Raw genomic sequence first — 14,027 nt, forward strand, 5'->3', positions numbered from 1 at the left:
ATAGAAGATCTGGCACCAGATTGCCTGAATTTAAATACACTTTCTACCACCTATTAGTCATGGGTCCTTAGGTAAATTGTTTAATTTTCCTAATTTAATTATTTAATTCTTGTGCTCTTTTTTCCTCAAGTGTCCCTAGAGTTAATAATATCAAATATATTGGGTGTTTATCAGGATCAGTTGAGTTAATGCATGTAAAGCACTGAGAACGTAGCACCTAATAATATATACCTATTATCTTAGTACAGGTAATATTACACACAGATTAAGAAAATTGAATTACTTTTATTAAAAACTGAACAGCTTTTATTTGCTTATGAGAATTATGCATTAAAGCCATTTGTAAAATAAAATTTTCATTAATTGAGCTATATTAAAATATTTTCAGTATACCTTGCATCAATTAAGATGCAAGCTATAGTGAAGGAGGCTATTGAGTTTTTTTGTATATACAATCTGCCAGAGATCTAATTTACCATTTACTTTTTAATGACAATGGTAAGTTTTTCTGTCATGTAAAGAGTAAATGGTGACTTTTCTGAGATATTGAACGGAAAGCCATAGATTTGTATGTATATGGTGTATCTATATGAAAATGACTCAGCATATTTTTTTCTAATGTGGATATTTAACAGAATTCATTAAAACATATTGTAGATGTAACTAGTATATATACATTTTTTAATGAAAAGACTAAAGCTATCGTTTTACTACTTCCAACTGATATCAAGGTCTATGTGGAAATTCTAATATGACTGAGAAAAGTCAAATAAAATGTAATACAATGTTGGATAAGCATGGAGTAATGAGAGTGATGTTCATTTCTTCTCTAATTGAAAGAAACAATGATGAACTCAACATACCCAGCTGCATTTTTAATTGTACAGACGTCCATGAAATGTTTGGTTACTCGATTACTAAATTTCACTAGTGAATGCAGACGTCCATGGTCTCCTGTGCCCTTTTTTACCAAGAATCTTGTCTGTGGCTCAGCAGTAAAGGGACCAGGATGATGTGCCAATCTGATATAGCACTTAATTTTTTAAAAATGCAATTATGTTTTAGGCTGAAATAGCTAAAATGTTATTTCCAATTTGAAAAGCCCCCTACTTAAATGCCTGTATACTCACGTGCAGTGAATAATCTTTATTTGCATCTGAAAATTAGCTGTAAATTAGAGCTAATAATCATTGAAAGTTCTAGCTGTGAGATTACTCCAGGAGAAGACTAGTTTTCTGAGTTGCTTTACCAGATTCTAGAATATTGTTTCTCAACCTTGGCACTATTGACATTTGAGACCAGACCATTCTTTGTGGTGGAAGGCTACCCTGTGTTTTGTCAAATGTTTAACAGCACCCCTGGATTCAACCCAGTAGATGCCAGAAGTATCCTCTCTTAGTTGTGATGACAAAAGTGTCTTCAGATATTGCTGATATTTCTTGGAAGTGGGGAGCAGTAGGGTGAAATTACCTCTGGTTGAGAACCTCTGAATTGGAATGTGGTCCTTAGCTTTGCAAGTCTAGATCCTGTGTTTTATTGGTGCAGTCAGAGAAAACTGGTTTTCTGGAATTAAACTCAGGAGACTCATGCTTAATCCACAATTCCAAATTTAATTTATATGTAGAGAAAAATATCATGTTTACTCCACACTGATTATTACTGTTTGAGGTTCTCTTCCTCTCTTGTCAAGACTGTTGAAGATCAAATGGGAAATAAAAAAATAGCATGGCAAACCTGGAACTGGAGTACACACTCCTTGAGAGAATTTGTTCATGCTATTATGGTGTCTGATGGAACTCCTACACTTCAAACCTAAAGAAATAATAATTATAGTCATGGTATTCTTACATAGTGGATTCTGGACCGCAACTCACGTTATAGATACGGTTCTATCACAATGAGAAGAGCAAATTAATCGAACTGTGTTCAATGATCTCATCTGCAAGAGAGTAACATTAATATATCAACAAGGAGGGGTAAAGATTAGTTACTATGTGTGGCAGGATTATAACTTCCTAGCACAGAGTGCTCTCTAAATGTGTCTTAGTTATTATTAGTTCTGTAAGAATAACTACAATATATCATTGTAAAATAAACATACAACAGATTGTAGGGGCAGGTGTATGCCCATGGTAAAGAATAATAATGCCATGTAACCACCAAGGCCAACAACCAAAACTTGACCAAATATCACAAGCCTCCTGTGTGCCCTTCTGTTTTCCATATTACATGTCTTTCTCCCCACGAATGTAAAAAGTTCCCCTTCTTTTGTTTTAATTCCACTCTTTTAAAGCTAGAGGTAGAACAATATTGATTCTTAATTTATAGTTGGCAAAAACAAATGAACAATAAATATATGTTCCCTAGAGTGGTTGTACCAGAGAGGCATTACATCCAAAACATCGATCTGAATCTACATAATTGATTTTGTATTGCAATTAAACACCCTTTTCACCACACTTACACCTGCATGCTGAAAATGATTTTAAAAATTCCTAGTTCTAGTAAACACACACCCACATGTGCGCCCTCCTTCCATATACATAATGCACTCTCTTGTGTGTGTAAACATACATGCCACAGTTTCCAGAGCATACTAAAACATTTTTGTTGTTGCCTGTAATTGGCAATAATCAGAATTTCCTTCACCACTCCATGGGTTGTATATCTTTTTATGTCTGTATTCCTTATTCTTGAATTACAACTGGATTGGCTGGCTTTAGTACTTAAGCTAGTCAGTAGACATGCAGGAACTGTCTGTCATAATGGTGAAAGAATTTAAGGTAAGAATAAGAAAAAGTAGACTTTGAATGAAAACGAGACAATCTTGAAAAGTAAAATGCTACCTCAGGTAAGCTCTTGGGAAAGGCATTCAAGAACAAATTAGGTTCATGTATAATAAACTTAATAAAATTTCAGGTGAATCTAGATAATTCTTAGATTTATTTAAATAATTGCTTACCATTAATGAAAACATTTGGGACAATAACCCTGTATAATTTTAAATTATAGAATGTATATGTTAAAAACTAAATAGAGAAATATTTTTCTGATTAATGCAAAAATGGGAACAACTTAAGAGTATAAAATAAAAGGCAAATGCTTTAAAGATGACATCGAATGAAGAATTGGCTGAATAAATTAAACATGTATGGATTTCATGATACACATGAGATTATACTTTCCCTCGCTCTTTGTGCTTTATCTTTTAATATTAGAAGCAATATATGTGATACACATAAAAGGGTAGATAGACGATAAATATGTATATGCATTAATATGTATGTATACACATTGATACATATGTAAATGTATGTGCATGTGTAATATATTTTATATGAAACATCATAATTATAAGCCTTTGACTATGCCACTATTACCACAAAGGGATCCCAATCCAGAGCCCAAGAAAGGGTTCTTGAATCTTGCGAAAGAAAGCTTTCAGAGCGAGTCCGCAGTGCAAAGCAAAAGCAAGTTTATTAAGAAAGTAAAGTGGTGAAAGTTCAGTGACTCGATAGACAGAGTAGGGCATTCACGAAAGTAGGAGGAATAATGCGGTCACCCTTGGTACAAATACTTGTGTGTATATGTGTATACACACATATGTATAGGATTAGAAAAGATCATGGGGAGATGAGCTCTGCTACAAGGGTTTGTGATAAAGGATTAATTTTCTTAACTACTACATTTTGCAAGAATCAATGAATATCTTTAAAGCAAAATTAGGGATGCTTTTGTTCTCAAATTATTGGGACATCAGGACACGCCCAAGTCTGGGTCTGTTAAGTAAACGTTATCAATCGGTTCCCTTAACCATAAGCATCTGGAGGCTAGGAATACCTCACTTTCTGGGAATGCAGCCCAGCAAGTCTCAGCCTCATTTTCCTAGCCCTCACTCAAGATGGTGTCACTCTGGTTCTAACACCTCTGAGACCACCTATCCCCAAATTAGAGCATTCCATCACATTAAAACTGTATACATGTGTGTTGATTCTGCTTTTTTCTCAAGGTAACCAAGATCCTGAATTTTATAATTTTCATTTTTTTTTGTAAAAGTAGTTTTTTAAACTCATATATGTCCCTAAACAACATACAGTATTACTTAGCTTTGCTTTTTAAGATTCTCAAAACGATCAACATATTACATATTATTTTATAACTTGATTTTGTTTTCCTCAAAAATGTCGCTTCTAAGATTCAACTATTTTGTTTTGTGTTGTTGTTGTTTCTTTTACTGGCGTGTATTATACTGTTGTGAAAAGCACTGTTTTATTTGTTCTTTGGCCATTGGGTATCTGGTCGTTAATTTTTTGTTTGTTTGTTTGCTATTATGAGCAACGTTGCTAGAAATCATACATGTCTCCTGGTGCACAAATGCAAGCTCCTCTGAGTACATTTTTATTTCCATAGGACACAAAATTACTAATATTTATATATCACCTTTGGGTAAAAAGACAAAACTCCTTGAGGCTGGGGGTTCATCATAGGAGGACCTACGTATATCAAAGGGACTGGTGGAACATAGGGTATGGGAAAGTTCAAATATACGTCTAATGACAAGTTGTTTTTATAAAAGTAGTTGCTCAAGTTTATACTCCCACGAGCAATGTGTCAGAGTTTCTCTTGGCCTACATTTTGCTAGTCTAATGTCCATAAACTAGTATCCTTTTGTAGTCCCAGTTTACATCTCTTTTTGCTGATATATTTGAGGATCAATTTATATAGGATCTGTGCTGTGAAGTCTGTTTTTTGAGACAGCGTCTTACTCCGTCACCCAGGCTGGAGTGCAGTGGTGTGATCTCGGCTCACTGCAACCTCTGCCTCTCAGGTTAAAGCGATTCTCCTGCCTCAGCCTCCCTAGCAGCTGAGACTACAGGCGTGTGCCACCACACCCTGCTAATTTTTTTATTTCTGGTAGAGATGGGGTTTCACCATGTTGGCTAGGCTTGTCTTGAACTCCTGACATCCAGTAATGCACCTGCCTCAGCCTCCCAAAGTGCTGGGACCACAGGTGTGAGCCACCACGCCAGGCTGTGCTGTGAAGTCTGATCGTGCCTTGTGTTATTTTTGTTAATGTGTGTCATGATTTAAAGGTGGTTTTTGTTTTACTTTATTTTGTGTTTTATTTTCCTTTATTTGGAATACTAATTGTATACTGGGTTATAGGTTTTGCAAGTACTTTCTCCATTTTGTGATTTTTCTTTTTAATTTCTTTACAGTGTCTTTTGGAAACCTTAAGTATTTAATTTTCATACAGTTAAATTTGTGAATCTTTTATAATGAGGTATAATCTTTTCTACCTTAAGATATTGTTTTATTATATAATTTTATGATTTTTAAAGTATTTTCATATTCTCCTGTCTTTAAGTTTTTTCTTTTCTCATTGAACTTACTAGACTTCTAGTAAGCCCTGGAAGTAGTAGGCATATTTTTAGAGATCTTAGATCCTAGTTTTTGATGTTGTTGTTTTACTTGTTGGTTGTTTTGTCTATTGATTCCACGAAAGCCTCAGCACTAACTAACCCTAACGTGGCATTGTTCCTCCTGGCAGATGACTGTGATGATCCTCTTGTGTCTGCCTTGCCTCAGGCATCCTTCAGCAGTTCTTCCGAGCTCTCCAGCAGTCATGGTCCTGGATTTGCAAGGCTGAATAGAAGAGATGGTAAGTCTGCTTTTCTCCTCTGACTGGCCCATAGAAAATCTCACTAGTTTTTCATTATCTTTGCATACAGTCATTATGAATGATACATGGTAAAAGAAAGTAAATTTCGAAATAAGCAAATGGTTAAAACTCATGAGATGTATATGACATCTAGCTTCTGTTCTGGAATGTGAAAGGGATACATCCTATATTACGAAGAATTGAGTTCCTTCCATCTGACAAGCTTTTTATATATCTTACTAAATATTTTCTACAATAATATACAATCCTTATGGACACATTAGTGATGAAACCTTAATTGGCCTTCAGTTTCAAGTTAAAGAAGTAATTTTCAAAAACGCTAATTATTTAAAAATAACAATCCCTCAGTGTTTTGGATTCTCAATGTGGTTGACATGATTTTCTTATCAGCTGAAGAATAGGAACATAATAAGATTTTCATGGTCCTTTAGGAGTACTCAGCCAGGTGTGGTGGTTCATGCCTATAATGCCAACACTTTAGGAGGCTGAGGTGGGAAGATCACTTGAAGTGAGGAGTTCAAGACCAGCCTGGGCAACACAGCAAGACCTTGTCTCTACAAAATAATAAAAATAAATTCACCTGTGATGCATGCCTGTAGTCCCAGCTATGGCTGAAGCAGGAGTATCACTGAACTCAGAAGTTGGAGACAGTGAGCTATGATTGTGCCACTGAACTAGAGCCTGGGCGACAAAGTGAGACCCTGTCTCAAAAAAAAAAAACAAAAAAAAAAACCAAAAAAAAAAAAACCCAAAAAACCCCCCAAAAAAAAAAACTCAGTTCATCTTAGTTTGTGTTTGATCACTTGAATATGTTAAAAGGAAACTGAAGATAATTAAATGGCACCTTGCTGTAGAAATAAGACAGAATTTCAAAAACACTGTGTACTTAGAGACAGAGTGTCACTGTGATCTCTTTTCATAACATACTAAGGTAAAATTCATCTGCACATGCATTGGAGGAAAACACGCTTGGCAATACTAATACATAAAACGTTTTAACAATCATAAAAAGTTTTAATGCATGATGTTTTTGGTTCTCCCATTTATTATCCTCCTCTCGTGGCAACATCAGTCAGTCACTTCTAATTTTACTCTTTGATGTTATCCTTAATATGTGCTTAATGCTTGAGCACACTGAACATTGGACATGACAAATAGGTAAGAGTGTGTGTGTGTGTGTGTATGTGTGTGTGTATTTTGCCATCTGGTATACATAATATATATCACACATAGTTCTAATTACAATATAGATATAACACTTTAACATGATTTTAAGCTTAAGTTTATTTTAAAATTTCATTTCATATTATTGGAGATACCTACTTTTGTGTGCTTCTGAATGTGAAGGTATCAGTGGAGAGTGAGAACTGAGATCCTTCTGTCAAATGGGAAACTGGGGGGTGTTTGAATATATTTGTGTAGATAATGCTAGCGTTTTCTTTTTGAGTGACTTGCAGTAAGAGTTACTGGTCACATGGGACTGTCTCTTCCTCTTTGCAATTCTGAGTCCCTGACCCATCAGGGGACTTTCCTAGCCTCTCTGATGGCCATTCCAGGCCCTGTACCTATGGACCCACCAGCAGGAATGCTGTTATTGCAATGCTAATCCTAGAATAAGGTCTCCATTCTGTGCTTCTTTATAGAGAAAAACAGAGTTTGACATTTACCACCACTTCATTTGAGTCATAAAAGCTTTCACAGAATGTGGGCCAGTGAAAGGAACACAACATTTTAATCTACCTATTTATCTTGATTTCCTTTGTTGAGGTTCAATACATCACAAAATATATGTTATTAATTAGATCAAATCATATTTTTCATTAATTTATATACTCATCAGGAGTCTCCATCAGTGGGACTCATTTTCATTCTTAATTCATTTCTATGGCTCTTGGTAAAACACAATATCAAACTTCATGAATCTCATTTACATGTTAATGAAACCGAGACACAAAACAGGATCATTTTAATTATCTTTTGCTGGTTGTAAACCTACTTGATTACATTTTTCTTTTTGATTTAGGTTTTCTTTTTTTCCCCTGTTAATTACATGAAGTTTTCACAAAGGAACATCAGATTTTCAGTGATTTATTAAAGGCTATATTTTATTTCTAGTATTGAAATACTAGAAATTTCTCATAATATTTCTCATAATGATTTATTTATTAGAGAGAATAAATTAATTATTTTTATTAATAATAATCATAATAATATTCATAATAATAATCATAATCATAATAATTAATAATTATGAGAAATTATTCTCATAATTTCTCATAACATTTCTCATAATATTTCAGTCAGGCTAGGAAAAAGTGTTCAGCCAAGTCTGCAGTCATATGTAAATAAATTAAACCAGCAAATAAAGGTCCTAGTATCTTAGATACACAGAATGACTTCTTTCCTACAGAATTATGAAAACTTAGAGCCAAAGAATAGAGCAAAAAAATGAGAAAGTTACCCACTTATTTTCCATCTGTGGGATAAGAAGTGTCAAGGGTAATACTGTGAAAATGAGTAGGGCCCTAGTAATGAGGGAAGGGGATCAAAAAAAGGCTACCATTGCTACTAAAAGTGGCTCACACCTGTAATCCTAGCACTTTGAAAGTCTGAGGCAGGAGGATTACTTGAGCTCAGGAGTTTGAGATCAGCCTGGGCAACATGGCAAAACTCTGTCTCTACTACAGATACAAAAAAGTTAGCCAGGCATGGTGGTGTACACCCGCGGTCCTAGCTATCCAGGAGGCTGAGGCATGAGAATCGTTTGAACCCAGGGGGTGCAGGTAACGTGAGCCAAGATTGTGCTGTTGCACTCCAGGGTGACAGAGTGAGACTCTGTCTCAAAAGAGAGAGAGGGAGGGGAGGAGAGGGGAGGATTACCATTAAACATACTTTCCATTCGAAGTATGCTAATTTAATTTTGCCACGTATGTGCTGTTTTGGGTTGAATTGTGTCCTCCTAAAAGATTGAAATCCTAACCCAAATACCGATGAAGGTGACCTTATTTGGACATAGGGTCTTATCAGATATCATCAAGTTAAGATGAGGCCATACTGGATTAAGGGGTGGGGGGCTAAATCCAATGACTGGTGTCCTTATAAGGAGTGTGAGATTTGGAGACATACAGAGACAGGAAAGACAGAGTAGACCAGATGAAGATGGAAGCAGAGATTGGAGTGATACAGCTGCAAACCAAGAAATGCGAAGGATTGCCAGCAACCATCAGAAGTTAGAAAGAAAGAAAGAGGGGTTCTTCTCTAAGCCCACAGAGGGAGTATGGCCCTGCCTGTGGACATCTTGATTTCAGACTGCTAGTTTCCAGAACTGTGAGAGAATAAACTTGCATTCTTTTAAGATGCCCTGTTTGTAGTACTTTGCTACTGCAGCCCTTGAAAACAAATACAGATTTTGGTACTAGAAGTTTAGTGCCACTGGAATAAATACCTTAAAATATGGAAGTGGCTTTGGAATTGAGTAATGAGCAAAGGTTGGAAGAATTTTGAGGCACTTGATAGAAAAAACTCAGATTGCCTTGAAAAGACCGTTGGTGTAAATACAAAGGTTTAAAGTGTATCTGGCAAGGGTTCAGAAAGAAAAGAGGGTCATGTTATTGGACATAGGAGGGAAAGCAATCCTTGTTAAAAAGTGGTAGAAAATTTGGTCGAATTGTGTTCTAATGCTGGGTAAAGATTAGATCTTGTAAACAATGAACTTAGATAATTACCTGAGGAGCTTTCCAAGCAAAATAGAAAAGGTATACCTTTGTTTCTCCTTGAAGCTTATAGCAAAATGTGTGAGGGAAGAAATACATTGAGAAAGAAACTGATAAGCAAAAAAGGCAATCAGACTTGATGGTTTGGAACATTCTTGGCCTATTCATATTGCAGAAGATGGGAAATTTTGCATGCTCTGAAGAGAACATTAAGGATGGGTAGGACAGATTTTGCTAAAGAGATTAGTTATGTGACTCTTGAATCCAATCAACCATCCAACAGGAATCCAGGAATAGAGAGAAGGTTATCTAGAAAAGATAGCTGCATAGTATTGTCATTGTTGGAGTTTCAGTATAGCTTAAATTTTAATGGGCAATTTAAAGTTAAGTGTACATTGACTCTTAGTGTTGTCAATGTAGAGTTCAAACAGGTTCTAGTGTCCCATTTGGTTGTCTAAATGTGTCCTTAGTACATTTAGAATCCAGAATATGGAGAAACCACATCTTTTATAGTGTTATAATCTGAACGTAAGTCTTTATTTTAATGTACTTGGACAACCTTGGAAATGAGTGATTGCAAATTGATAAATTTGTGTACAGGAAAAATAATACAATAGTAAATAAAATGATTGTCCAAAGCAAAAATAATATATTTACAAGTGTGAGTAGAAAAATACATATGTACACCTCTTTAAGTATATAAAAGATGGTTTCCATAGCTGACAAATACTGTGAGTTTCCACTCACATCTTCTGTAAGATAAGAATGTTTTCTGATGTTAAAAAATTGGATATTTGTCTATCATAATATTTCCTGATGTTAAAAATTGGATATTTGTCTATATTTTTCCATTTTCTATTTTTTAAACCACAACTACACCCTTCTATTCTAAATGGTTGTTAAGCAATGTTTTCCCAATACCTATAGAATTTGATATTAAAATCAAGCACTTATCTGTAGAGGAATTAGCTTACTTGGTTAATTGACAGAGATAACTCCCATTCTTGGATGGATCTCTATAAGAATAATTATAGCAATCTATATAGCGTTGTTTGGCAATTTTGACTGCCCTAAATTGTTATGCTTCTTTGCAAACAACTATTATGCTTCATTAAATCTTCCAAGATATGCATGTTGCATGTCAGTGCTTAAGAGGATAGATCCCTAAAGATAAAAAAAAAGTAGGTGCTTTTTTATGAGTTGGATATTTCCTGGTGTTAAACGTATTATATTTTTTAAAAACCTCTATAGGCCGGGTGCAGTGGCTCATGCTTGTAATCCCAGCACTTTGGGAGGCCAAAGCGGGTGGATCACGAGGTCAGGAGATCGAGACCATCCTGGCTAACATGGTGAAACCCCATCTCTACTAAAAATACAAAAAATTAGCCGGGCGTGGTGGCGGGTCCCTGTAACCCCAGCTACTCAGGAGGCTGGGGCAGGAGAATGGCATGAACCCGGGAGGTGGAGGTTGTAGTGAGCTGAGATCACACCACTGCACTCCAGCCTGGTGACAGAGCGTGACTCAGTCTCAAAAAAAAAAAAAAAAAAAACTTTATAATAATTAAATTTTTAAAATGATAGTATTAATATATTTAATAACCAATACTTTCTGTATGAAAAAAGAGTAAGATATAACTTTTGTACAGGATTGAAAAATCTCAAGCCTAGAGAAAGGGGAACCTGGCTGGCACAACTGGTATGAGTCTGAAATTTGCCTGAGAGGTCCCATGACCAGGCTGGGGCAGGTGAACTTCACTGACTGAGTTTGTTGCACTGGAGATGCCCTGTACTTGTGGAGTTTGTTGGAAAACAGAACATGCCAGCAATTTATTTGCTTCTAGACCAACTCATGATATCCAGAATCCGATGTGCTGAGAGTATGCCTTTGGCAACTGAAGAATTACGTGAATTGCAAGAGTCCCCTGCCTTCCTGCTGATTCAGGCTGTGGCATGTGATTTGTTAGCACTGCCTGATATTTCTGTCTTGAGCCCTAATTTTTTCTGGGTTTGGGCCTTGTCTTAAATCCATAGGTGTACAGCTCTTGATATTGAGATGGGGGTGCTAATATGGCTGAAACTCTGAATACTCATCCCTAACAGTCACAGAACTTGAGCCTCCCAGACACACTTGAACTTCAGCTCTTCCACTCTCCTTCTTCTCTTTCGTATTCTTTCCTGCAGATCATAAAAGTTTAGTTGAAGAGCGACTTCTTTGGTGTTAGACATATCTGGAATTAATTCACTATTCTTGGGTCTTAATCACTACTACATTTTACTCCCTTAAGGATTGGCAAGATATTTCACCACCAAACTTTAATTTCCTACGGGAAGAGCAGGGATAACAGTGAGATGGTATTGTCCTTCTGAAAATGATTGTGGCACTGTGATGGGGCCACATAAATTACAAAAACACAGTGCTGTACACATTTTAACCAGTTTCAAAGTGTGTCCTGCCAGTTAACCCCATTTTAGCAAACTAAATATATATACTCATTTATATAAAGGTAATCTCAGAGAATTCTGACCTCCACAGAACTGTGCTGGAAAGAGTCAATTTATTCCTTTTTATTTTATTTTTTATTTTTTGTTTTTTTTTTGAGACAGTCTTACTTTGTCACCTACGCTACAGTGCAGTGGCACAATCCCAGCTCACTGCAACCTCTGCCTTGTGGGTTCAAGCGAGTCTCGTGCCTTGGTCTGCTGAGTATCTGGGTGTACAGGCACGCACCACCACACCCACCTAATTTTTTTTGTTGTTGTTGTATTATTAGTAGAGATGGGGTTTCACCATGTTGGCAAGGCTGATTTCGAACTCCTGACCTCACGTGATCTGCCTGCCTCGGCCTCCCTAAGTGCTGAGGTTACACGCCTGAGCCACTGTATCTGGCAATATTCCTGATTAATTACAAAGCAAAACAGAGTCAAATAATTAGTTTTTTAATGTTTGTTATTAGATTGAAGTAAAGCTAAAACAGTCTGATATATCCTTAGTCAAAATCTGTGAATTAGGGTGATAGGATGGTTTTATTTAATATTTTTACCTTTTTTTTTTCCTCAGCAGTCTGGATTTAGTTTGTGAAGTTTAAAAAAAACTTACTAAAACATTAACATTTTGATAAAGGTTGGAAAATAAAGTTCCAGATTAATTTTATGATCAGTGATGTATCACTTGTTCTAATAAATTATATTTTGTATACCAGCCTTGAGAAGGTGAAATAAAAATAAGTGAAGGGTTACACATTTATTTCTAAATATGCTGATATCTTCTATTAAAGTAGTGGAGAGTTTGCTACCACTTCTGAGATTAATATAGAATCACTTCTATTTTTGTGTCGATTTATTTGATTTAACACCATAGATGACTGTCCACCTGCCTGGCTGGTTCCCTCTTGGCTTTCGATATTGCCCTCCCTCCTTGGCCCCTTCCTTAGAACATGCTGCACCTTCTCTGATCTCCCTGCCAGCGTCTTGGTGCGTTTTCCATCTTACCCTTTATCGTCCTTGTCTGCTCTATGGCCCACAGTCTTCAGCTCTAAATCAATCTGATGGTGTCATCCGTGGGAATGCGCCAAGTAGCTAATCCTAAGTAATGTGTAGTTCTGAAATCAGGGAAACTAGATTATAATACTAAATTGTGAATGGCCTTAAGGAAATGACATTACCTCTCTTTTTTTACCCCCTGGGTAGAGGATTGAATTTGAGGATCTCTAAATTCTATGACAACGTACTCTTCTTATGTGTAATATTCTACTGGCAATGTAGCTATCTTCTGTTTCTAACTCTTAGAAATCTTTAAAGCATGTGAGTAAGAGAAATTGGTAGTCCCTCAATAAGAAGGTGAGGGGAGTACCTTAAGGCAGATTATCCTTCTAAGTTTTCCTCAAACAAGATGACACAGGATGCTCCCGCCTTAGGAGATGTCTTCAGCTTTCATAAGATACAGGAATTCAAAATATAAATGTGGCCCAACTGAAATCGATACAGTGGCTCAAATTTGGTCAATTAAAATATATTCACAAAATTAAACATTATCACTAATACATAAACATTTCTTTTAGTATCCATCTGATATTTTCAGTGCTGAGTAGGAAAATTTTACATGCAGGTGCAATGAATAAACCATGAGTTAAGTAATCAAGGGTGTCTTTGGTTGGGTTCTCCTAGAAGCACACCTGGAGCAATGTCTGAGGTACAAGTGATTTATGAGGGCATAGCTGCCAGGAGAAAACAGAGCATGGGGGAAGCAGGTTAAGGAAGAAGAAACCAAATAATTTCAGAAATCTCAGGCACAGCATAATCTCTCAGGAAACTCTGAGGGATAAATTTTACCTTGGACTTTGCCTTACCTCAAGGTGACGGTAGAGTCTAGCATGGTGTCTGGCTATATGAATAATTAATTTAGAAATGTTAGCTGCCATGTCATACAACTGGCAGCAGATTTGATGTCTTGTTAGGGCCCTTTTGCTGGCTTACTGATAGCTCTCTCCTGAATTTATGCTTAAGTGACCTTTCCTGGTACTTACTCATGAAAAGAGATCTCTCTCTCTGTTTCCTCTTCTTATAAAAGCATTAATCATATCATGAGTGGCCCACCCTCGTGACAATGTAAACCTAATTACCTCCCAAAGGCC

General features: G+C 36.2%; 1 protein-coding gene across 16 annotated transcripts in view; it reads left to right on the forward strand.

Moving 5' to 3' along the window:
* CNTNAP4 (contactin associated protein family member 4) overlaps positions 1 to 14,027 on the forward strand; it is a 283,357-nt gene that overhangs the window by 33,461 nt on the left and 235,869 nt on the right. For all 16 annotated transcript variants that reach the window (NR_136216.2, NR_136210.2, NR_136213.2 and 13 more), the window contains one exon: positions 5,552 to 5,662. Coding sequence is in view for 10 of the 16 variants with exons in the window: in NM_033401.5 (NP_207837.2) it covers positions 5,552 to 5,662 (111 nt within the window). In the remaining 6 variants the exon portion in view is untranslated. The remainder of the gene's footprint in view (positions 1 to 5,551; positions 5,663 to 14,027) is intronic.

The sequence above is a fragment of the Homo sapiens genome, chromosome 16 (assembly GCF_000001405.40).
Source record: "Homo sapiens chromosome 16, GRCh38.p14 Primary Assembly".
Lineage (NCBI taxonomy): Eukaryota > Metazoa > Chordata > Mammalia > Primates > Hominidae > Homo > Homo sapiens.